At 53.0% G+C, this 24,730-nt stretch overlaps 1 protein-coding gene across 5 annotated transcripts in view, besides 6 other annotated features; it reads left to right on the top strand.

Moving 5' to 3' along the window:
* CACNA1A (calcium voltage-gated channel subunit alpha1 A) overlaps positions 1-24,730 on the top strand; it is a 300,038-nt gene that overhangs the window by 263,328 nt on the left and 11,980 nt on the right. For 3 of the 5 annotated variants that reach the window (NM_001174080.2, NM_000068.4, NM_023035.3), the window contains exons 32-39: positions 1,626-1,631; positions 7,422-7,538; positions 7,878-7,943; positions 8,116-8,231; positions 11,292-11,442; positions 12,943-13,070; positions 15,625-15,721; positions 18,380-18,485. In NM_001174080.2, the coding sequence (NP_001167551.1) occupies positions 1,626-1,631; positions 7,422-7,538; positions 7,878-7,943; positions 8,116-8,231; positions 11,292-11,442; positions 12,943-13,070; positions 15,625-15,721; positions 18,380-18,485 (787 nt within the window). Of the gene's footprint in view, positions 1-1,625; positions 1,632-7,421; positions 7,539-7,877; positions 7,944-8,115; positions 8,232-11,291; positions 11,443-12,942; positions 13,071-14,356; positions 14,454-15,624; positions 15,722-18,379; positions 18,486-24,730 lie in introns of all 5 variants that reach the window. The other 2 variants (NM_001127222.2, NM_001127221.2) reach the window with 2 other exon arrangements.
* Positions 8,451-8,500: a silencer, noted in NCBI's record as "silent region_10204". NCBI's record gives its function as "represses an Ori minimal core promoter by ATAC-STARR-seq in GM12878 lymphoblastoid cells {active_cell/tissue: GM12878}" and the evidence as "EXISTENCE:reporter gene assay evidence [ECO:0000049][PMID:35858748]".
* Positions 11,127-11,627: an enhancer, noted in NCBI's record as "H3K4me1 hESC enhancer chr19:13342339-13342839 (GRCh37/hg19 assembly coordinates)". NCBI's record gives its function as "activates a minimal SCP1, AML or CMV promoter by ChIP-STARR-seq in naive and primed H9 embryonic stem cells {active_cell/tissue: H9 hESC(naive and primed)}" and the evidence as "EXISTENCE:reporter gene assay evidence [ECO:0000049][PMID:30033119]".
* Positions 11,628-12,128: an enhancer, noted in NCBI's record as "H3K4me1 hESC enhancer chr19:13341838-13342338 (GRCh37/hg19 assembly coordinates)". NCBI's record gives its function as "activates a minimal SCP1, AML or CMV promoter by ChIP-STARR-seq in naive H9 embryonic stem cells {active_cell/tissue: H9 hESC(naive)}" and the evidence as "EXISTENCE:reporter gene assay evidence [ECO:0000049][PMID:30033119]".
* Positions 16,326-16,827: an enhancer, noted in NCBI's record as "H3K4me1 hESC enhancer chr19:13337139-13337640 (GRCh37/hg19 assembly coordinates)". NCBI's record gives its function as "activates a minimal SCP1, AML or CMV promoter by ChIP-STARR-seq in naive H9 embryonic stem cells {active_cell/tissue: H9 hESC(naive)}" and the evidence as "EXISTENCE:reporter gene assay evidence [ECO:0000049][PMID:30033119]".
* Positions 17,350-17,849: an enhancer, noted in NCBI's record as "H3K4me1 hESC enhancer chr19:13336117-13336616 (GRCh37/hg19 assembly coordinates)". NCBI's record gives its function as "activates a minimal SCP1, AML or CMV promoter by ChIP-STARR-seq in naive H9 embryonic stem cells {active_cell/tissue: H9 hESC(naive)}" and the evidence as "EXISTENCE:reporter gene assay evidence [ECO:0000049][PMID:30033119]".
* Positions 17,850-18,351: an enhancer, noted in NCBI's record as "H3K4me1 hESC enhancer chr19:13335615-13336116 (GRCh37/hg19 assembly coordinates)". NCBI's record gives its function as "activates a minimal SCP1, AML or CMV promoter by ChIP-STARR-seq in naive H9 embryonic stem cells {active_cell/tissue: H9 hESC(naive)}" and the evidence as "EXISTENCE:reporter gene assay evidence [ECO:0000049][PMID:30033119]".

The following is a 24,730-nucleotide window of genomic DNA, read 5'->3' as shown; positions in this document are numbered from 1 at the left end:
CTCCAGCTGGCAATCAAAATATCTTGCCATCCGGCTACATACAAGACAGCCTTGAACCAATGTCCCTTTGGGTCAAGAGGTTAGAAGGATGGTCCAGCTCCCCAGAAGGGCAGGTGGGGTGGAGGAAGTTAGCTGAAACCTTCAATCACCAGTAAGAGAGCTGTAGGGACAGACTCCAACAGCCTGTTCTCCTGGCTGGCAGGAAGATGGGGCATGGGGTGTTCATGGGACATCAGGACCCTTGCAGTAGCCAAACAGCCCCCAGCCCTCCCTACCAGCTGTTTGATCTTGGACAACTTGCGCTATCTCTTCTCATGTAGAGTGGGGCTAACCATTGCAACCAACCTCAGACACTTGCAAGACTCACAGTGATGCATGCACTCAAAAGACATTCATTGAGCACCTACTGTGTGCCTGGTGTGATTATAAGTGCTGGAGACAGAACGAGAAGGAGGGGTGCCAAACAAAACAGACCAAGAATACAGAGTGTCTGCTCCCATAGAGCTGACATTCTAAGGAGAGAGACGGGAACTTTTTACAAGTAAAAGCATCAACAGGCCGGGCATGGTGGCTCACGCCTGTAATCTCAGCACTTTGGGAGACCAAGGCAGGTGGATCACTTGAGGTCAGGAGTTCGAGACCAGCCTGGCCAACATGGTGAAACTCTGTCCCTACTAAAAATACAAAAATTAGCCGGGCACGGTGGCAGGTGCCTGTAATCCCAGCTACTCAGGAGGCTGAGGCAAGAGAATCACTTGATTCTCAGGAGGCGAGAGGTTGTAGTAAGCCAAGATTGTGCCACTGCCCTCCAGCCTGGGCGACAGAGTGAAACTCTGTCTCAAAAAGAAAAGGAAGAAAAAGAAAGAAAGAAACGTGAAGTGCTTGGCACAGAACCTGCCAGGAAACCAGGAGTTTGAAAATGGTGGTTGTTAACTATTACTGCTGTTGTTATTGTTATTGTGAATGGGTGTGTAGTTTTGTTAGCCAGCCCTGAGTTACAGTCAATTTGAGGGAAAGATAGGGGGTGGGTGTTTGGGTCCTTCTGGGACAATTAACTCCCAACCTGGAGTAGGGAGAGGCATGTCCTGGCAGGCAAGGAGGTCTCAGTTGCCCCTTTCTGCCTCCCAGGTAAGCCCACTAGTTCTGAGGCCAGGGCTTGGCCAGGCTGAGACAGGAAATGCCAGATGCTTGGGCGGGCAGGTCCCTGGGGTTTAGGGGGCAGAGGGCATGCGGCAGTACTAACCAGTGCTGTCTCAGCTGCTGCCCCCAAGTGGCTGGGGTGATGTGGGTTTGCCCTGTGTGCAATGGATAATGACTGTGTTTCTTGTCTTGTCTCTTTTCATGCCTGCTCTTAAAACTGTATATTGGCGCAACGCCGTCTGAAAAACTCATCCAATCAAAATGCACTATGAAATTCATTTGTTCATCCATGACATGGTCTGTGTGTTCATACACCAATGACTTATCTCCCAACCCACCGCCACCACCACCCCCACTCCCCGCCCGGGAACCGAAACCCATTGGTTTTTTGGCACTGGTTACAAATCAACCTAAAAAATGCTGAACACGCCTCCCCAACTGCCCCCGCCCGCCCGCTCCCCCTCATCTTCAACATCTGCATCTAGAATCCGGTTGGTCTTACTTCTTTCTGAAGTCTAAATGCCTTACATTAACTGTGAACGCATCTCCTCGCGTCGGCATTGCATGCCACACCCTGCCTCTCCAACGTGGGATGCCTGACGCTCTCCTCAACCCTCCGCTCTCCTCTGTCTGTCTGTCCTCCCGCCCCCAGCCCCTGTGCCTCCCACTTCCTGTAGACTCTGTCTCTCTGTTTTTATCGGGTTCTGAATGGGGGTTTTCTGTTTGGGGTGGTTTGCGTCTTTTGCAGAGAAAGGGATGGGTTTTCCCAGCGCAGCACCTCTCTCTTGCCCCATCCCGCACACACATCCCCTACACTCAGAGACAATAGAGGCAAATCCACTCCCAGCCACCTCTCACCACTCCTGTCCCCCATTCAGCTCCATGGACCCCAGGCCCCAGGAAAGCTGCCAACTGTCTCCTCGCCCCTCCAGCTCTCTCCATCCTGCTGTCCCCAATCCTCCATCTCAAGCCCACAAGATCTTTGGCCTTGACCAGCAGAGACTTGACTCTCCAAGTCTGATAAAGGAGACCTGAAGGCCAGGCAGTGTGCCGGCAAAGACTCTCAGGCAGAGGAACTCAGAAGTGCCAGACTTGGATCTGGTAGCTTCATGTGGGGCTGGCCCACTGAGGCCCTCTCCTGGAGCCTTGAACTGTACGTGCACACGCAGTCACACAGTCACTGCACACAGACACTGCACACACAGTCACTGTGCACACACTCAGTCACTGCGCACACACTGTGCACACAGTCACTGCACACAGACGCTGCACGCAGTCACTGCAGTCACTGCACACAGTCACTATGCACACACAGTCACTGCACACAGACACTGCACACACAGTCACTATCCACACACACAGTCACTGCGCAGACACTGCACACACACTGCACACACACAATCACTGCGCACACACAGTCACTGCACGCAGAAACTGGACACACAGTCACTATGCACACACTGCACACACCACTATGCACACACACTGTGCACAGTCACTATGTACACACACTGGCACTGCATGTAGTCACTATGGACACACACTGCACAGTCACTGTGCACACATACACTGCACACACTGTCACTATGCAAACACAGTCACTGCACACAGTCACTATGCACACACACTGCACACACAGTCACTGCACACAGAGCCACTATGCATGCACACACAGTCTGCATTCACACATTGAACACACAGTCGCTATACACACACAGTCACTGCACACACAGTCTATGCACCCACACACTGAACACACAGTCACTGCATGTACAGACACTGCACATAGTCATGACCTCTTCTCTTTTTCTCACTCATTCTCCAATTCTCTCTCTCTCTCGCTCTTTTTTTTTTTTTTTTTTAGACAGAGTCTCGCTCTGTCACCCAGGCTGGCGTGCAGTGGCACAATGTCAGCTAACTGCAACCTCTGCCTCCCCGTTTCAAGCAATTATGATGCCTCAGCCTCCTGAGTACCTGGGATTACAAGCATGTACCACCACGCCAGGCCACTTCTTGTATTTTTAGTAGAGACAGGGTTTCACCATGTTGGCCAGGCTGGTCTCGAACTCCTGACCTCAAGTGATGCACCCGCCTCAGCCTCCCAAAGTGTTGGGATTACAGGTGTGAGCCACTACACCTGGCCTCTAATCCTCATTCACTGTTCCTGTCTCTGTGTCTCTCACATACAGTCATGCATGCATGCACGCATGCACACACACACACACTGGCCCTCTCTGCTACATCTACCCACCCTGTACCCCCACTCCAGTACATACTGCACACATCTCTCTCCCTCCCCCACTTCTCAGCCCCTTGCACACCCCTTGTTCTGTTAAATCTCAACTGCCTCTGCCCCTCTCCTACCCACCAATGAGGCCCTTAGAGGGACGCCCCAATGGCATCTTTGCCCTGGAATCATCCCTTCCCTGCTGGCAATACACATGCATTCACCCACCAAACATTTAATGAGCCCCTATTTGGTGCCACAGATGGAATTATGGGCAGAAGCAGACACCATTACTGTCCCCTCTTACCACATACAGTCAGGTGGGGGAGGCAGGCATCGGTCAAATAACCCCTTGACTCCACTTAAAATTATACCTGCACTGCGAGCTGAAGGATGAGCAGCATTAACAAGGCAGAGAGAGATGCACAGAGCATTCCAGGCCCAGGACAGCACATGCAAAGGCCCTGTGGTGGGACGGAACCTGTGAGGGGTCAGGATCTGCAAGCGAGGGAATGTGGCTGATGCAAAGACAGCCGAGAAAGGCTGGCCTGGAGACAGCCGAAGAAGGCAGAAGGGGACAGGACCCGGGGCTGGGGAGGGCGGGGCTATATTGTGGAATATGGGCTTTCTCCTAAGCACCAGGAAGGGCCTGGGAGGATAGGAAGCAGGGGAGGCGCGACTGGTCATGTGACTAGACAAGCTCGCTCTGGTTGCAGGGCAGGGAACAGCTTGACAGGAGGCTGGGCTGGAGGTGGGCACCAGGAATCGCAGCAAGAGATGACAGTGGAGGAGAGAGAACAGTGGGAGGGTTGTCCTCTGCAGGACCCAGGGAAAGATCAGGTCTGAACTGAGATGAGGTGCCTGGGAGCAGTCGGGTCTGGCTTAAAACTGGGAGATAGGCTGAGCACGGTGACTCAAGCCTCTAATCCCAGCACTTTGGGAGGCTGAGGCAGGAAGATCACCTGAGGTCAGGAGTTCGAGACCAGCCTGACCAACATGGTGAAACCCCATCTCTCCTAAAAAATACAAAAATTAGCCAGGCGTGGTGGCAGGTGCCTGTAATCCCAGATCCTCAGGAGGCCGAGACAGGAGAATCACTTAAACCTGGGAGGTGGAGGTTGCAGTGAGCCGAGGTCGTGCCATTGCACTCCAGCCTGGGCAACAGAGTGAGACTCTCTTAAAAAAAAAATACTGGGTGATAGAGGTGAGCGAGTGCAAGGAAAGGACCAGGTTGGGGGAAGAGAATAGGTGTGGGCATAGCAAGTTTGAGGTGCCTTTAGGACATCCCGAAATAAGTCAGATAGGCAGGTGTTGTGGGGGCTGCAGCTTGGAGCTGAGGTCTACAAGTAGTAGGACTTTTCTGGAGCCCTTAGGTGGGTGGTCTCCATATCCTTCTGAGCACTTGAGGAACATCTGAGCACAGCACTGGAAAAGAAAAGACCACAAGGACGCTGTCCTCATGTCTTCCAGGGGCTGTGTCCCACCCCCATCACATTCTAGCCAGGAAGTTCAGGGGAGGTGTTGAAGAGAGGAAGCTGCACCTCCCAAGCCATGGATTGAAATGTGGAAGGCAGGAAGAGGGAACTTGTCAGAAGTTCTGGGGGCAGTGGAAAGAATTGGTACTGATGCAGGAAGAGATGGAGGGTGGATGAGGGCAGACTAGTACCCTTCCCCCACTGCCCCAAACCCTTCCCGTCTCCACCCCTACCTGCCTCATGTGTCTCCTCCCCCACTTGGCTCCAAGAAGGGAAGCATGTTTTCTGCACGCATCTCCCTGCCAGATCCCTGGCTTTTTTGCATGGTTGCAAGCTTCCCCTGCTCTCCTCCAAACCCCCCTCCTGAGGCTGCTTCCAGGGTCCGCCTGCCTTCGCATGCCTGGCCGAGTCCACATGTTATGATCCGCCCCATGAAAGGGATGGCTTGTACTCTGGGGTTGAACGGGAGGGGGCTGGGGATACCTGAGCCATCGGCCCCATCCCCAGGTGGAGCTGGGTGGCCAGGCAGGGATGGGGGTCAGGGCAGCAGGGCACAGAGAGTGACTCTGTTAGCCAAGCTGGGTTTGGGGCTTGTTCGAGGCACTGGAGACATTCTCACAGCACTTGAGCCCAGTGTGGTCAGGGTAGGATCCCCCAGCCCCCTTCCCCATCCTAGAGGCCTAAGGACGCACTGATGTGTCCCAGAGAGCATCCTAGACATTGCCATCAAACCCAGAGGCCTCAGAAATTCCTTGAACTCCAGTCCTTGCCTCTCAGCTCCCAGGCCAAAGCCAGCACAAGACACAGATCTGGCAGCCAGAAAGCCCTCTGGAAGCCACCAAGTAGGATGCCCATGTCACCCAAACTAGGACACTTTTGAAACAGGAGGGAGGCTGTGACTGTATGGTCACCCTGTGCCATTTGGGGGGTGAAGGTTAGACCAAGTTAAATCTTGCTACGTGGCCTGTAGCAAATCCTACAAATCCCATAGAACAAGTCTGATTAAGCCCCTTCCCTTAGTGTGGAGAGACCCTCTACTCCTCCTGCCTTCACCCTGCTGGGTACTGGCCAGCGAAGGAGGGTTTCCATGTCTGCCTGAGGCTGGGGTCTCAAACTCAAATGCCTCTGGGGGCCAGGCAGACACCAGTCAACCAGGAAAGCAAGTGCCATTTCTAAAACGTGAGGACCCTGGAAAACTGGAGATCATGTGGCCTGCTTCCAGGGAGCAATCGCAGCAGGCCTGGGGTTGCCAGAAAGCCAGATTGGTGGGCAAAATCTCTTGATTTTTAAACAATGGCAATAATTTTTAATTAAAAACAAGGACAAATGAAAAAACACTGCTCGGGCCCAACAAAACAGTTTTATTAGCTAGATTTGGCCCACTCGTGACTTCGAGAGTCCCACCCCCCCCACCAAGGTCCCTTGAAGCCCCACAATGGCCACTTAACTCTAGCTGGTCTCCTCCCTGACTCTCCAACTCTCTGGCCCCCTGGTTCTTCTAGCTTGGGTGGGAGGAGGCAGAGGCAGTGACTAGACAGGGGGTTTTTGAGCAGAGGCAGTGGCCACCCAGGGAGGTCCTGGGGGCAGGGATGGCCCCACCTCCCGGCCCCCAGCACCCGCCCCTTGGTGGGCCCGGGCTGATTTCTGAGCTCACCCACCCATGGGAGCTGAGTGCTTCCTGCTTCCTGCAGGCCTGGTCCCGTGCTACTCCACCCAGCCCCAGAAGCTGAGAAGCCATCCCTGAGAGGGGGGAAAAGGGCCCCAAATGCATCTTCTCCGACTCAGCGGGCAGCGAGGACTCACCCTGCAGCCGAACAGTCCCAGCTCCCTCCCGTCCTCCCCATTCCCGCTCGCCAAGGGGGTAAGAAAAGATGCTCTTCCGCTTCTCCCAATTGGCTCGAGCCGCTGCTCCTCTTGGCCGTGGGGTGAGGTCAGGGCGGGCAGGAGCGGGTGGGCAGCTCGGCAGGGCAGGGCAGGGCAGGGTGCCCGGTGAGTCCCGTGACAGATGCATTTCTGGCCCGGAGCGTAACATGCCCTCGGAACCCGCACATGTCCACCAGGCCTGACTGTGCTGGCGACCTCCACCCCCACCCCCGCCCTGGTGTTTGTGCATCGTACACGTATGATAGATTCCGCAACTTGACCGGCTTGTGTCCTTTCGTCTCAGTGCATTTGGTTGTTGGGAGAAACAAAAACCATCTCGATTTTTTTCCTGATTGGATGATTCGGATATATTTTCTTTTTCTTGTTCTTTTGTTATTTCTTCCCCATCCCCGTTCCTTTTTCCTCCTTTCTTTTTCTTTTCTTTTCCCCATTGTGGGTGGGGCTGGCAGGGAGGGCTTATGCTTTTGAGTTGATGCCTTTTCCTCCCTCCCACCCTCTCTCTCCCAACATTATTCCTTTTTCGAGTTTTTCCTCTGCATCATTGCATTAATAGTGCTTTCTCTCTCCCTCCTTATTTGGGGTCTGGCTTGCTTTTTTCCTGTTGGTTGGCTTCATGTAGGGGCCTCTGTGAGTGGTGACAGCTCTGAGCCTTTTGGGGTGGGTGGATGGTCACCCCTCTTCCTCCATCTCCCCAGAATAACTTCATCAACCTGAGCTTTCTCCGCCTCTTCCGAGCTGCCCGGCTCATCAAACTTCTCCGTCAGGGTTACACCATCCGCATTCTTCTCTGGACCTTTGTGCAGTCCTTCAAGGTGAGTCCTCGTCCCTGCTGCTGGCCCAGGGCTGAGAAGACAGGTGACCCTCATGCTCTGGCTGAATGTAGAAGTCAGATTGGAAGTGCCTCTGTGATGTAGTCGTGCAGAGAATCTGTTATCTCCAAGGCTGTTGTCAAACTTCCTGTCCCTGGTGTGTCTTCAGAGCTGTAAGGGCCTCATCCTAGAGCCCCCAGAGATGCCCACCAGCCCTGGAAGGACTCTGGCACGTGGCATATGGCCACCCAACCCAGTGGGGCAGAGCACTGGGACAAGGGAGGAAGACAGTGCGGCTGAGGGACCCCCAGCACTCTTCTTCATTGCCTTTTTTCCCACCAGGCCCTGCCTTATGTCTGTCTGCTGATCGCCATGCTCTTCTTCATCTATGCCATCATTGGGATGCAGGTGAGTGTCGTGTCCCTAAGGTTCCCAGAGCCTCCCAAGGAGGGCAGCCACCCTTAGAAAGGGGTGGGTCAGAGGAGCCTGGTTCACAGAAGCAGCCATGGAGGTTGAGCTGGGTTTCCCAGAAGCCACTGGAGGAATGGCAGCCCCTGGTCGTCACCCTCCAATTCCACAGGTGTTTGGTAACATTGGCATCGACGTGGAGGACGAGGACAGTGATGAAGATGAGTTCCAAATCACTGAGCACAATAACTTCCGGACCTTCTTCCAGGCCCTCATGCTTCTCTTCCGGTGAGAAGGGGACCTGCTCTGATAATTCTGTTTCCGTGGGGTGGGGTGCCTGCCTTCATCCTTCTGTTCCCATAGAGGATGTACCCTCCTCTTCCAATGCAAGACGTGCCCTCCTCCTTCTCTTCTGGCAGGGGCGCGCCCTCACCCTTCTTTTCCGGTAGGGGGCGTGCCCTTCTCTTCCGGTAGGGGACGTGCCGGCCTTCTCTTCCGATAGGGGGCGTGCCCTCCTCCTCCTTTTCTGGTGTGGGGGTGGCCAGATGTGCTCTTATCCTTCTTTTCCCGTGAGGCTGGAAATGGGTGTCGTGGGGGGCCCAGGAATCCTAGCAGGGCAGAAGCAGAGGGCCCTGGGACATAGTCATCAAGGTCATTTTCCAGGCATTATCTCTGAATCTTCCTGACCACCCTGTGAGGAAGGGATTCTTGGCAGCCCTATCCGACAAATAAGAAAACAGGCTTACAGACCGTGAGGCTTGATTCTTTGGTTCATCATCTTGGCTGCACACAAAAGTTCCTTCACTCGTTCAGTGTAGGTTTTTTGGGGGGGCTTTTTTTTTTTTTTTTTTTTTTTTTGGAGATGGAGTCTCGCTCTGTTCCCCAGGCTGGAGTACAGTGGCGCGATCTCGGCTCACTGCAAGCTCCGCCTCCCGGGTTCACGCCATTCTCCTGCCTCAGCCTCCCGAGTAGCTGGGACTACAGGCGCCCGCCACCACGCCCAGATAATTTTTTTGTATTTTTAGTAGAGTCGGGGTTTCACCATGTTAGCCAGGATGGTCTCGATCTCCTGACCTCGTGATCCGCCCGCCTCGGCCTCCCAAAGTGCTGGGATTACAGGCGTGAGCCACCGTGCCCAGCCCTTTTTTTTTTTTTTTTTTAGATGGAGTCTCTCTCTGTTGCCCAGGCTGGAGTGCAGTGGCGCCATCTCGGCTCACTGCAAGCTCCTCTTGTGGAGGTGTATTGAGCACCTACAGCATGCCAGGCAGGGCTGAAAAACGAGGATGCACCAGGAAATAGAGAAAAGAGACATTTTAAGCACTTTGGAAGCTAACATCCCCATGGGGAAGACGAATAATCAGGAAACAAATTATAGAGGATGCTGGAAAAAGATAAAATTCAAGAATAAAGGGGAATAGGGCCAGGTGCAGTGACTCGTGCCTGTAATCCTAGCATTTTGGGAGGCCGAGGTGGGAGGATCGCTTTAGCCCAGGAGTTTGAGACCAGCCTGGGCAACATAGTGAGACCCCGTCTCTACAAAAAAATTGTTTTTAATTAACTGGGCATAGTGCCACACACCTGTAGTCCCAGCTACTTGGGAGGCTGAGGCAGGAGGATTGCTCGAGCCCAGGAGTTCCAGGCTACAGTAAGCTATGATTGTGCCACTGCACTCCAGCCTCGGCAACAGAGCGAGACTCTGTCTCTAAAAAGAAAAATATATTTTTTTAATTTTTAAAAAAAGTTACAGAGGTAGATAGTGGTGATAGTTGCATAATAATGTGAGCTTACTTAATGCTACTGAATTGTACACTTCAAAATGGTTAAATTGATAAACTTCATGCTGTGTGTATTTTGCCACAGTAAAAAATAATAATGTTTTTAATCTAACAACAAAAAAAGAATAGAGGGCCGGCAGGTTATGCCTCTCTGAAAGTGTGACATTTGAGAGAAATTGGCAAGGGAGGGAGTCAGTGGGTATATGGGGAAGGGCAGGCCAAGCCGAGGGGACTGCCTGTGTAAAGGCCCTGAGGCAGGAGTATGGCTGGCATGTTTGAGGACTGTGAGGAGCCCAGCATACCTAGAACAGAGTGATCTAGGGAGAATATAGTATGAGATGACTGTCACCTTCATGGAGGGGAGCTTTTTTTTTTTTTTAATCTGAGACAGAGTTTCGGTCTTGTTGCCCAGGCTGGAGTGCAGTGGTGCGATCTCGGCTCGGCGCAACTTCTGCCTCCCAGGTTCAAGCAGTTCTCCTGCCTCAGCCTCCCGAGTAGCTGAGATTATAGGTGCCCGTCACCACGCCCAGCTAATTTTTGTATTTTTAGTAGAGACGGGGTTTTGCCATGTTGGTCAGGCCGTTCTCAAACTCCTGACCTCAGGTGATCCACCCGCCTCAGCCACCCAAAGTGCTGGGATTACAGGCATGAGCCACTGCACCCGGCCTGAAGGGAGCTTTTTTTTTTTTTTGCTTTTTTTTGAGACAGAATCTCCCTCTTTGTCACCCAGGCTGGAGTGCAGTGGCGCGATCTCAGCTCACTGCAACCTCCGCCTCCTGGGTTCAAGCGATTTTCCTGCCTCAGCCTCCCAAGTAGCTGAGACTACAGGTGAGCGCCACCACACCGAGCAAATTTTTGGTATTTTTAGTAGAGATAGGGTTTCACCATGTTAGCCAGGATGGTCTCAATCTCCTGACCTCGTGATCCACCCACCTCAGCCTCCCAAAGTGCTGGGATTACAGGTGTGAGCCACCGCGCCCAGCCAAGAGGGGAGCTTTTAAAGCATAACAGTGACCAGCCTGAGCAATGCAGTGAAACCCCATCTCTACAAAAAAAAATAGTTTAAAAATTAGCCAGGAGTGGTGGCGTGTGCCTGTAGTCCCCAGCTACTCAGGAGGCCGAGGCGGGAGGATCACCTGAGCCTGGGAAGTTGAGGCTGCAGTGAGCAGTGATTGTGCCACTACACTCCAACCTGGGTAACAGAGCAAGACCCTGTCAAAAAAAAAAAAGAGAGAGAGAGAGAAAAGAAAGGAAAAGAAAGAGAGAGAGAAGGAAAAGAAAAGAAAAAAACATATCAGTGTCCTCAAATCCCACCCTAGACCAACTGAATCCAAGTCTGCTGGGGTGGGGCACGGGCATTGGTATTTTTTCAAAGCTCTCTGTGGACTTCAGTGCACAGCCAAGAATGTGAATTCCCTTCTCTCAGCTCCCAGTAAAAGGAGGTGGTCCACCTGGGGCTTGCCTGGCCAGCTCCAGAGCCCAAGTGCTCAACGTGTGTGCTCCACCTCCTGGGGAGGCGTTGGTACCCAGTCAGGGCTGGGTGTCCGAGTCTCTGATTTCTCCCTGTCCTCAGGAGTGCCACCGGGGAAGCTTGGCACAACATCATGCTTTCCTGCCTCAGCGGGAAACCGTGTGATAAGAACTCTGGCATCCTGACTCGAGAGTGTGGCAATGAATTTGCTTATTTTTACTTTGTTTCCTTCATCTTCCTCTGCTCGTTTCTGGTGAGTCTGTGGACACTGTGAGGGCCGTCTGGGCTCCCTAAGCCTGGCTTCCTTTCAGGGGAGTGGGTTTCTGTGGAATGTGGCTGTGTCGAAGGCTTGTTCCCTCCAAGGCTTCTCTGAACCAGCCTGGGATCAGGTGACCCTGAGCGTCTCAAACTCAGCACTGTTGACATTTGGGGGTGGCTGATTCTTTGGGGTGGGGCCATCATGTGCACTGCAGTGTATGGCAGCATCCCTGTCCTCCCCCCACCAGATGCTGGCAGCACACGCCACCCGTTCCTCCTGTTGTGACAACCAAAAATGTCTCCGGACATTGCCAGGTGCCCCCAGGGGGTGGGGGTGGGGTTGGGAGTGGGGGCCAGAATTCCCCCATTTGAGACTCAATGAAATATTTCAGCTGGGCGTAGTGGCCGATGCCTGTAATCCCAACACTTCGGGAGGCTGAGGTGGGAGGGTCACTTGAGCCCAGGAATACAAGACCAGCCTGGACAGCATGGTGTGAAACCCATCTCTTTAAAAAAAAAAAAAAAAATTGAATTAGCTGCACACGTGGTGCTGTGCACCTGCAGTCCCAGCTACTCAGGAGGCTGAGGTGGGAGGATCACTTGAGCCTTGGAGGTCGAGGCTGCAGTGAGCCATGATCACACCACTGCACCCCAGCCAGGGCGACAGAATGAGATCCTGTCTCAAAAACAAACAAAAACAAACAAAAAAAAAAAAAACATTGCGAGGGAAGAAATACCTCACTTTGGCCTTGTTGGGGGCAGATGTGGGAGGATTTGGGGTCACAGTGGTTCTCTTGGTGTTGGTCCCTGTTTCAGAAGCCTCCCCTCCCTCTCACTGACTCTGTTTCTTTCCATCATTCTTGGTCTTTGTCTCTCTCTCTCTTTTTTTTTTTTCTTTGAAATGGAGTCTCACTCTGTTGCCCAGGCTAAAGTGCAGTGGCGAGACCTCAGCTCACTGCAGCCTCCACCTCCCAGGTTCAACCGATTCTTCAGCTTCAACCTCCCAAGTAGCTGGGATTACAGGTGCACATGCCACCACACCCAGCTAATTTTTGTATTTTTAGTAGAGACAGTGTTTCACCATGTTGACCAGGCTGGTCTCAAACTCCTGACCTCAAGTGATCTGTCCACCTCGGCCTCCCAAAGTGCTGGGATTACAGGCGTGATCCACCGTGCCCGGCCAGTCTTTGTCTCTTTGTATCTCTCTCTCTCCATCTCTCTCTGTTTCTCTCTTCCTCTTCCCCATCTCTCCACTTGATCTCTCTCTCACTGGACCTCCTTGTGTGAGTGAGCATCACCTCTCCATTCCCCAGTCTCTTTCTGTCTCTGTCTCATTTCCTTTCCCCATCTTCTCTCTATCCCTCTCTCCATCTGGGCCTCTGTGTACATGTCTTTGGGTCTGTCTGTCCGTCTGTCTGTCTGTATCCTTCTCACTCACTCATTCATTCCCTCGGTCTCTGCCCCCATTCTCTCTTGGTCCCCGGGGTCCCCACAGATGCTGAATCTCTTTGTCGCCGTCATCATGGACAACTTTGAGTACCTCACCCGAGACTCCTCCATCCTGGGCCCCCACCACCTGGATGAGTACGTGCGTGTCTGGGCCGAGTATGACCCCGCAGCTTGGTAAGAAGTCACCCCGAATCCTCCAGCCACAATACTCACCTCTCCCTGGAACTGGAACACGGGCTAGGTCAGGCCCCAGACTCTGGAGCACTGAACTCCTGGGGTCCTAGCAGGGGTCTCACAGGTTCAGTCAGGAGAGAAGATATAAGAATCATCACCCTTGCATACCCCAGATTAAACACGTAGGGTGCCAACCCTGCCCAAACCCTGGACTTTCTGGGAAATGAGGGAGGGCGTCAACCATGAGATGTCCTGAAGAGCCCTCTCCTCCTACGAGTCTCTCCTGTCTCTCACTGTGAAGTCTCCAGATGGTGAGGATGCATTAGCCAGGCTCCAGGGAGAAAACCAACAGCATCCCAGCCTCAGTTCTCTTGAGAGTGTGGGGAGGAGGGCTGGCCTACCCTTGGCAGACAGGATTGGCAGCAACATCAGAGTAGCAGAACTCAGCTCCCACTGGGACCCGTGAACCTGGGAGTGAGAGGACATACAGGCCAGGGGAGGACGCAGAGCCTCAGGGGCCCATGCATCTTTGTGGCCACAAAGGGAGTGGGCGCTCCCATCTGGGTAGACACCAGAGGGGTCCCTCTCCACTGACGGGCAATGGTTTCAGAGGGTGGGTTCCACCTTGTGCACGTGTATTGAGTGCCCACCCAACACCAAGCCTTGAAGGACACTCAGAGGCTTTATCTGAATACCTGGAACCCACCAGCCACTAACTGAGGATTTAGTTCAGGCTGGTCTTGGGGCCTGAAGAAGCATTACTGGGGGGCCCTCAGCAGCCTAAGCCCCATCTTCCTCTGGCCTCAGCACCAGAGAGGAGGCCGTCACGAGGAAGGTGGGCAGGAGGTGGTCTTGGCTATTCCCATAGCCTCAAACAAGTACTCCATGAGACCGAGAGGCTGGGGAGAGCCGTGGGTCTGGGGCTGGGCTTTGGCTGGTTCCTAACTCTTCCTCTTTTGATTTTAGGTCACAGCAATTGGATGCTGTCCCCAAGGCCTCTATTCCACAAGCCCCCCCCCACCCCTGTAGCCCATGTAGACTGTGGAGGAGGCAGATGCAGAGAGAGCCCCAGGGGAGGTGCCCTGCAGTCCCGAACTCGACTGACATCCTACACCCCTGGGTCTCCCCAGTGTCTGGGAATGTACTGGGGACCTTCACTTGTCCCCAGTCTCTCCCACTCCTTCAAGCCAGGGACACCCCAGCCTCGGGCATCATGACCTCGCTGTGTGCCCAGGGAGCCCGTGTGAACCCATTGCCTGCACTAACCCCCTTTCTTCTCCTTTCAGCGGTCGGATTCATTATAAGGATATGTACAGTTTATTACGAGTAATATCTCCCCCTCTCGGCTTAGGCAAGAAATGTCCTCATAGGGTTGCTTGCAAGGTTTGACTTCCACTAAAACCTGCTAGCATCCATGGAATGAGTGTGGCTTGGGGTTCTTCAATATATATATTTCATATATATATATATATATATCTCTCTCTCTCTCTAAAAAAACAGAGCCATCTCTCTTTCTTGCATTAAACTAGAAAACTCTCTTAGCCAACAGAATGCAGTCATGTAGACTCGATAAAGCATGGAACATATTTCCTCCTTCCCTTCAGCCTTCAGCCATCTTTGCTTGCTCTTAGCTGAAGCTGCCCATCCTGGGGTCTCCACGGCACCCCAAATCAGATACATCCCCTGGGGGATTGTAACTTTGCATTTCTCCCCCAACCATCACCTCCACTCTCTCCCCCTCCACCCCTCACCTCCCAAAGCCCCTAGCCCTCCTCCCCTCCCTGGCACTGGCCCCTGCTCCCCACCTAGGCCCCCTCAGAGACCAGCCTCAGCCAAACCAGAGAACGTGACCCAACTGTAGAAATAACAGTGATGGCCGGGCGCAGTGGCTCATGCCTGTAATCCCAGCACTTTGGGAGGCCAAAGCAGGAGGATCGCTTGAGCCCAGGAGTTTGAGACCAGCCTGGGCAACATAGCAAGAACCCCCTTCTCTATAAAAAATTAGCCAGGCATTGTGGCGCATGCCTGTAGTCCCAGCTACTTGGGAGGCTGAGGCAGAAGGATTGCTTGAGCCCAGGAGGTGGAGGCTGCAGTGAGCTATGATCACACCACTGCACTCCAACCCAGGCGACAGAGAGAGACCCTGTCTCTTTAAAAAAAAAAAAAAAAAAAAAAAAAGGCAATGAACAAAAGCATGGCTCTACGTCTTCCAAAGTGAGAATTCTCCCTCCCCTCCGCATCCCTCCAGAACTGTAGCTCAGAGCCCACGCTGAATCTGACTTTTCTCTTTTCTCTCTCTCTCCCTGCTCCCGAGCAGTGAAGTAATCTTTTTTTACTGACCTTTTCTTCCATTTTTTTTCCTCCTCTTTTCCATTGATTTGAAATATCTATTTTATCATTCTCTGCATCTTTCTCTCTCTATTTTTTCGGCTCGTGTGGATTTCTTTTTTCTTTCTTCTGTTTCTCCCCACCTCTCTTCCTTTGGTTCTCTGTTCCCATTCCCGTTTTGTTTTTTTGTTTTTGTTTTTGTTTTTTTCATTTTCGGTGCTGCCAGGGGCCGCATGCCTTACCTGGACATGTATCAGATGCTGAGACACATGTCTCCGCCCCTGGGTCTGGGGAAGAAGTGTCCGGCCAGAGTGGCTTACAAGGTAGACTACCCTTGCCGACCACCGACGTCCAGGCACTGGGTTTTTTTTTCTTCTTCTTCTTCTTTTTTTTTAGTGCTGACCAGAAACACCCGGCCGACTCTCTTTTTCCAACGTTTCTCTTCTTTTTTGTTTTTGATTCTTTTTTTTCTTTTCTCGAGTCAACTGATCATGACCATCCCTTGATTCTAAGCAGCACACTGTGTCCGTCCTTTCTGATGAGTGTCTTCGTGTTTTGAGACTCCATTATGGCCGACATGCCGGGGGGAGGGGGAGGGGAGCGCCCAGGTCCCCTTGCACCTGGTCTCCCAGGTACCAAATTGGAAACAAACACGCTTCTTCAGGGAGTCAAAACCCATGCTTCCCACTTCTGCCCACCCAGAGCGGCCCCCATGCCCAGGCTGGGGCAGGCGCCTTGCAGAGAGGGGCTTTAGCCCCCGAAAGCAGGCGAGGTCCCGGGTCCCCGCCCCTGCCACGCACACCTGAAGCTGATCTCTGACCTAGGGCCTTGGGGATTCGAGACCTTCCAAGGAGCACCAAGAACCTCTCTTCCCCTCCCTTCCTTCCCCTGGAGTTTCGTCCCCAGCCCCCGTCCCTAATCCCCCCAAGACACCCCAACATGCCTCTCCATTGTTCCAGAGTGGGCAGGCGGCCGCAGCTGGACCCCTGGACGGTGGCACACTGATGCAGGCCATGCACGCTGCCTTGGCGGGGCCTGGGGCGGGCAGGCACCATGGCCGACGGGGGGTGGTGCATGCTGGCTGAGAGAGCGAGCGTCCTGCCGCCAAGCGGCTGGCCCGGGCCACCCCTCCAGATCCCTGTCCTGGAATCTCCCTTGGTGCCCAAGGACAGATGCTCTGTTCCCTCCATTCATCCACAAGAAGTTCAGGGATGACCTTTAAAGATTCTCCCCACCCAAAAAGTATTACCCCATCATCCTATTCTCCCATCCACCTTGATCTTCCCTGCGTCCCTATCCATCAATGCTATTTGTACCTGCCCCGTGTTGCCACCTCATTCCTTTCCTTCCTCTGTGCACCCCTCCTCACCTAACCTATATGTCTCCCCTCCTTCTCAATCAAAGCCGGGGACAAGGTTGTCCCACCAGCATCTCAGACAATGAGCCTCTCCTGGCACCTGTCGCTCTGTGCCCCTCCCTGCCGCCCCCCCCCCCCCCCCCGGTTTTCCTCAAGTCGCTTCTCTCAGTCTCTGCTTAGATGAATGTGTGCGCATGTGCAAGAGAGGGAGGGCGAGCCCTTCCTCTCCTGGTCTTTGTGCAGGACCACCATGGGTCCATAAGACAACTTTGTGCAAATTTGAAAAAGGCACCCTTTCCACAGAACATGCCTGTTGGAAAATTGTTGCAATCTACCAATGTGGTGAGAACAAGACACTTTTTTTCTATCACCTGGGAAGCTGTTATATTTAATATACAAATCGGGGGCTGGGCGTGGTGGCTCATGCCTGTAATCCTAGTGCTTTGGGAGGCTGAGACGGGAGGATCACTTGAGCCCAGTTCGAGACTAGCCTGGGCAACATAGCGAGACCCCATCTCTACAAAAAGAAAAAATATTTTAATTAATAAATAAGTACATAAATCTATCATTTCCAAGATGGGAGCCCTTTGTGCGGTGTACAACCTGCACAACTGTGCACAGTGGCCCAGTCTATGTGTGTTTCTCTATTTCCCACCTCCTTCCCCACCCTACCCCCAGTGTCCCCTCCAGTGTCCTGCTCTGGATTTACCATACCCCTCCCCATCTTCAACTCTGTGTTTCCTGCCCACTTGTGTCTGAATCCCCACCCAAGTTGCCCTCACCCCCCTTCTCTGTGCCACTTCAGCCTGGGCTGGTGCACACCAGCCCAGCATCCTCTCCCATGCCACCAAGCATGGTGGACAGAGCCCCTGCCTGGGACATGGGGAATCTTTTCTTCCCTGGGCTGGAAGGGAGTGCCCCTCACCCCTTCCCCCTGCCATTGCACAGAGAGCCAAGATCTGGACATGCCCCTGAGATACACTTCCCACGGAGCTATGAATGAGTCTCGAGATTCCGTCTGCATGCGCCCCTGTCTGTGCTGTTCTGTGTCACAGCCTCGCTGCATGCCTGCGAGGGGCCTGCCCCGTCAGTGGGGGGCTGCCTGCCTGCTGCTTCTCAGAGGAATGATGTGGTCTGTGCCCATCTGCTCTGTCCTGGTCTGGGCCAAGCCAGGGATTGGGTGTGGGGAGCCAGTGGCACCCCCCACCAGCGGCTGTGGTCCTGGCCCCCTCAGCCTTGGCTGTTGCATGCACTGCTCAAATCCAGCTTGTGCTCTTTTTCTTTGGGGTCAGACTGAAACGGGGCCATCCAGAAGAACTCTGGGGCAGGGCGGGGGTGGGGCAAGGGTTGAGGCAAACCCTGGAAATGCCAGCTCTCAGGTCAAGCAGGTGGGGGAAAAAAGGAGAGGGCAGGGGACCAGAAGTACAAGAGAGCCTTTTGTGCCCTCCCTGCGGGCCACCAAGAGAAACTGAGTACTGGGACAGGTAACCTAAGTAAGAGACACCTCAGCCGCCACAGCTTTCAGAGTTCTTCCTGGGACTCCCTGGGTAGGGGCGGGCGCGGCTCACGGGAGACCCAGGAGGGATGCCTGGGAATGACTGCGCTTGCCTTGGGTTTTCTGTAGCGGCTTCTGCGGATGGACCTGCCCGTCGCAGATGACAACACCGTCCACTTCAATTCCACCCTCATGGCTCTGATCCGCACAGCCCTGGACATCAAGATTGCCAAGGGTAAGGAAGGGACAGGGGCGGGCACAGACAGGCGTGACAGGGTGGAACCGGGGATCTCCCTCCCTACCCCAAACTAGAGGATCTGCTGTCACCACCCGGATCTTCATTCACTCTTCCATTCATTCGTTCCACAGGGTTTTTTGGGGTTTGGGGTTTTGGTGTTTTTTTTTTTTTTTTTTTGAGACAGAGTCTTGCTCTGTTGCCCAGGCAGCAGTGCGGTGACATGATCGCAAGTCACTGCAGCCTTGACCTCCCAGGCTCAAGTGATCCTTCCACCTCAGCCTCCCCAGTAGCTGGGACTACAGGCACACACCACCATACTCGGCTAATTTTTTTTTTTTTGGTGTGACAATTTCCCTCTGTCACCCAGGCTGAAGTGCAGTGGTGTGATCTTGGCTCATTGCTACCTCCGCCTCCCGGGTTCAAGCGATTCTCCTGCCTCAGCCTCCCAAGTAGCTGGGATTATAGGTACCCACCAGCACACCCGGCTAATTTTTTATATTTTGGGTAGAGATGGGGTTTCACCATGTTGGCCAGGCTGGTCTCGAACTCCTGACCTCTGGTCTCAAACTCCTGACCTCAAGTGATCCACCTGCCTCGACCTCTCAAAGTGCTGGATTACAGGCGTGAGCCACCATGCCCAACCTAATTTTTTATATTTTTTATAGAGATGGGGTTTCATCAGGTTGCCCAGGCTGGTCTCAAACTCCTGGGCTCAAGCAGTCCTCCCACCTTGGTCTCCCAAAATGCTGGTATTACAGGCATGAGCCACCACACCCGGCCCATTTGGCAGATATTTAGTGCACTCCTTCAATGTGCCAGAGACCCGTCCAAGCAGGGGAGGACCCAGCAGCTTACACTTTAGATGGATGGGGAGGCCGCCACTGAGGAGGTAAGGCAGTGTCTCATGGATCCCTGGGGGGAAGGTGCTCCAGGCAGAAGGACTGGCAAAGGCCCTGACAGAGGGGTGAACACAGGACACCCGGGGCATTGAGCTGACTCACCTTCTGAGTGAGGGCACGCCACGCAGGTTCAGAGCAGAGGAGGAACCTGACCCAACTCACATTTGAACAGGTTCCCTCCGGCCACTGAGGGGATGGGAGACCGAAAGGAGGCCAGTGTGGGGGCTGCTGATATCATCTGGGTGGAGACAGGGCGGCAGCTTAGATCTAGGGGTAGGCTCGACGTGGTGGCTCACGCCTGTAATCTCAGCACTTTGGGAGGCCAAGGTGGGTGGATTACTTGAGGTCAGGATGACCAGCCTGGCCAATGTGGTGAAACCCCCGTCTCTACTAAAAATACAAAATTTAGCCAGACGTGGTGGTGGGTACTGTAGTCCCAGCTACTAGGGAGGATGAGGCAGAAGAATCGCTTGAACCTGGGAGGCGGAGGTTGCAGTGAGCCGAGATCACGCCACTGCACTACAGCCTGGGTGACAGAGCAAGACTCTGTCTCAAAAATTAAATTAAATTAAATTAACTGGACATGGTGGCATATGCCTGTGGTCCCAGCTACTCAGGAGGCAGAGATGAGAGTATTGCTTGAAGCCAGGAGTTTGAGGCTGCAGTGAGTCATGATCGCACCACTGCACTCCAGCCTGGGCGACAGAACGAGATCCTAGCTCAAAACAACAGAAAGAAAAAGAAAAAAACATTTTTTTTAAAGCTGAGAAGGGGCTGGGCGCAGTGGCTTACGCCTGTAATCCCAGCACTTTGGGAGGCCAAGGTGGGTGGATCACGAGGTCAGGAGTTCAAGACCAGCCTGGCCAACATGGTGAAACCCCATCTCTACCAAAAATACAAAAAGTAGCCGGGTGTCATGGTGGGCGCCTGTAACCCCAGCTACTCCGGAGGCTGAGGCAGGAGAATCACTTGAACCTGGGAGACAGAGGTTGCAGTGAGCCAAGATCGCGCCACTGAACTCCAGCCTGGATGACAGAGCAAGACGCTGTCTCAAAAAAAAAAAAAGCTGAGGCCGGGCACGCTGGCTCACGCCTGTAATAGCAGCACTTTGGGAGGCCGAGGCGGGCAGATCATGAGGTCAAGAAATCGAGACCATCCTGGGTAACACGGTGAAACCCCTTCTCTACTAAAAATACAAAAAATTAGCTGGGTGTGGTGGCACGCACCTGTAGTCCCTGCTACTCAGAAGGCTGAGGCAGGAGAATTGCTTGAACCCGAGAGGCAGAGGTTGCAGCGAGCCGAGCTTGTGCCACTGCACTCCAGCCTGGGTGACAGAGTGAGACTTCATCTGAAAAAAAAAAAAAAAAAAAGCCGAGAAGGCTGGACATGGTGGCTCACACCTGTAATCTCAGCATTTTGTTGAGGCCAGGCACAGTGGTTCACGCCTGTAATCTGAGCACGCTGGGAGGCCGAGGTGGGTGGATCATTTGAGGTCAGGAGTTCGAGATCAGCCTGGCCAACGTGGCAAAACCCTGTCTCTACTAAAAATACAAAAATTAGCCGGGTGTCGTGGCGTGTGCCTGTAATCCCAGCACTTTGGGAGGCTGAAGCGGGTGGATCACTTGAGGTCAGGAGTTCAAGACCAGCCTGGTCAACATGGCAAAACCCTGTCTCTACTAAAAATACAAAAATTAGCCAGGTGTGGTGGCGGGTACCTGTAATCCCAGTTACTAGGGAGGCTGAGGCAGAAGAATCACTTGAACCCGGGAGGCAGAGATTGCAGTGAGCCGAGATCACATCACTGCACTTTAGCCTGGGCGACAGAGCAAGACTCCATCTCAAAAATAAAAATAAAAATAAAAAATACCGAGAAATTCCCCCAAAGACCTAGCTCAGGGCTCACTCTCCATCATTAGGGGGAAAGAAGAAGAGGAGGCCAGGGAGGCGGGCAGAGACCAGGGCAGTGTGGGCTCCTGGAGGCAGCTTCTATGTTTAAAAGGGCGGCTTCAGGAGGAAGGGGACCAACCGTGTCAGGCACTGCCCAGAGACCAAGGATGACAAGGATCACAAGTGACTGGTCATCATGGTCACTTTGACCAGTGCAGCTTTGGCGGAGGGGTCAGGGGTCCCCTGTCTGGAGTGCATTTCGGAGGCCCGAAAGGGGATGTGATGTGATTTGGCAGCTGATTAAGGACAGCAGGGCAGAGAGACAGGCGCACAATTGCCAGAAGAAACGGGGACCTGAGGCTCACGCCTGTAATCCCAGCACTTTGGGAGGCTGAGGAAGGTGGATCACTTGAGGCCAGGAATTTGAGACCAGCCTGGCCAACATGGCGAAACCCCATCTCCACTAAAAATACAAAAATTAGCCAGGCATGGTGGTGCACACCTATAATCCCAACAACTTGGGAAGCTGAGCACAAGAATTACTTGAACCTGGGAGGCAGAGGTTGCAGTGAGCCGAGATCAAACCATTGCACTCCAGCCTGGGGGACACAGCAAGACTCTGTCTCAAAAAAAAAAAAAAAAAGAAAGAAAGAAAGAAAAGAAAAAACAAATGGGACCAGAAAAAAGGAGTGGGTGGGAGAGGAGCAGGTGGATAGTCCCACACATGGGAAGGTGCTGAGCCCAGCTGAAACCACTAGTAAGTCAGGAGGAGGGAAGACTGAGCCTCGAGACATATGTGCCTTCCAGGGTCTTGAGGGAAAGAAGGGAGGAAGAGCCAAGGCCACGTGGCAAGACTCAAGGAGGAAGTGGCAGGGAAGGTGGGGGACTGGAGGGGTGGAGGACAGATATTGTTAATGCCAGGAACAAAGTGAAGGTAAAGAGAGCACAAGGAAGTTGGGAGCAGTGGCTCACACCTGTAATCCCAGCACTTTGGGAAGCCAAGGCAGGAGGATCACTTGAGGCCAGGAGTTCAAGATCAGCCTGGCCAACACAGAGAGACCCCATCTCTACAGAAAATTTTAAAATTAGCCAGGTGTGGTGATGTGCACCTGTAGTCCCAACTACTTGGGAGGCTGGAGTGGGAGGATCACTGGGGACTGGGATGTCAAGGCTGCAGTGAGCTATATGATGACCACAGACATAGCAGCTTAAGACACACCTATTTGTCAGCTCACAGTCCTGTAGGTCAGAAGTCCAAAAAGCTGGACTGGGCTGTCTGCTGAGGGTCTCACGAGGCTGAAATCAAGGTGTCAGCCAAGCTGGGCTCCTCTCTGGAGGATCTGGGGGAGAATCTACTTCCAGGTTCATTCAGGTGTTGGCAGAATTGAAGTCCTTGTGGCTGTAGGACTGAGGTCTTGTTTTATCACTGGCTTTTTAGCTTTTTGCTCCTGGAAGTGCATGTAATCCTCCATGTGCTCTCATTCTCTCTGACTTCCCCATCTGCCACCCAGCAGAGACAATACTGTGCTTTTCAAGGGCTCACCTGATTGGGGCAGGCCTACCCTGATCATCTCTGTATTTTGAGGTCAGCTGACTTGATATTTTTTTTTTTTCTTGAGACAGAATTTCACTCTTGTTGCCAAGGCTGGAGTATAATAGTGTGATCTCAGTTCACTGCAATCTCCGCCTCCCAGGTTCAAGCAATTCTCCTGCCTCAGCCTCCTGAGTAGCTGAGATTACAGGTGCCCACCACCACGCCCAGCTAAATTTTTTTGTATTTTTAGTAGAGATGGGGTTTCACAAGGTTGGCCAGGCTGGTTTTGAACTCCTGACCTCAGGTGATCCACCCGCCTCAGCCTCCCAAAGTGCTGGGATTACAGGAGTGAGCCACCATGCCCAGCATTTTCTTTCTTTTTTTTTTTTTTTTTGAAACGGAGTCTTGTTCTGTCACCCAGGCTGGAGTGCAGTGGCGCAATCTCGGCTCACTGCAACCTCCATCTCCCGGGTTCAAGTGATTCTGCCTCAGCCTCCCAAGTAGGTGGGACTACAGATGCGTGCCACCACGCCCGGATAATTTTTTGTATTTTTAGTAGAAACGGGGTTTCACCATGATAGCAGGATGGTCTCGATCTCCCAACCTCGTGATCTGCCCACCTCGGCCTCCCAAAGTGCTGGGATTACAGGCGTGAGCCACCGCACCGGGCCTCCGGTATTTTAATTATATCTGCAAAGTCCCTTCATAGCCTGGGCAATGGTCCCTAGATTAGTGTTTGAATAAACAGAATCTTGGCAGAAGGGCAGCTTTTGAATTCTGCCTACCACAGTTCCTTCGTTTGTACAACGGGTCTAACAACACCCCCACTCTTTGTATGTAATGCCATCGTAACTCAGCTTCTGTGGCACTCTGAGAATCTGTGTTCAGGGGTCCCAAAACCACCCACAGGTTCAGTGATTCCCTGGAAGAACTCAGAACTGAGAAAAGTTTTTATACTCACAGTTTATTACAGTGAAAGAATATAGATTAAAATCTGCAAAGGGCCGGGCACGGTGGCTCACGCCTGTAATCCCAGCACTTTGGGAGGGCGAGGTAGGCAGATCACTTGAGGTCACGAGTTCAAGACCAGCCTGACCAACATGGTGAAACCCTGTCTCTACTAAAAATACAAAAATTAGCCAGGCGTGGTGGCTGGCGCCAGTAATCCCAGCTACTTGGAAGGCTAAGGTAGGAGAATCACTTGAGCCCAGGAGGCAGAGGTTGCAGTGAGCCGAGATCCCGCCACTTCACTCCAGGCTGGACAGAGTGAGACTCTATTAGAAAAAAAAAAAAAAAAAAAATCTGCAAAGGGCCTGGCATGGTGGCTTACGCCTGTAATCCTGGCACTTTGGGAGGGCAAGGCGGGCAGATCACTTGAGGTCACAAGTTTGAGACCAGCCTGGCCAACATGGCGAAACCCCGTCTCTACCAAAAATACAAAAATTAGGCATGGTGCCAGACCCCTGTAATCCCAACTACTCAGGAGGCTGAGGCAGGAGAATCGCTTGACCCTGGGAGGCAGAGGTTGCAGTGAGCTGAGACTGTGCCATTGCACTCCAGCCTGTGTGACAAGATCAAAACTCTGTCCAAAAAGAAAATTAGCCAGGTGTGGTGGCATACACCTGTAGTCCCAGCTACTCCAGAGGCTGAGGCACAAGAATCCTTTCAACCCAGGAGATAGAGCTACATTAAGCCAAGATCACGCCACTGCACTCCAGCCTGGGCAACAGAGCAAGACTCTGTCTCAAACAAACAAACAAATTCCAAAAACATAAAATGCGCAAAGGAAGGGCATCTGGGGAAGGGTCCAGGAGACACCAGGTGCGAGCTTCCAGTTGTCTGCCTCCAGTGGAGTTGCACAGACAACGCTTAATTCTCCCTGCAGTGTGTGACAACACGCACCGTGTACTGCCAACCAGGGA

Source organism: Homo sapiens, chromosome 19 (assembly GCF_000001405.40).
Source record: "Homo sapiens chromosome 19, GRCh38.p14 Primary Assembly".
Lineage (NCBI taxonomy): Eukaryota > Metazoa > Chordata > Mammalia > Primates > Hominidae > Homo > Homo sapiens.
This window is presented reverse-complemented; position numbering and strand designations above follow the sequence as displayed.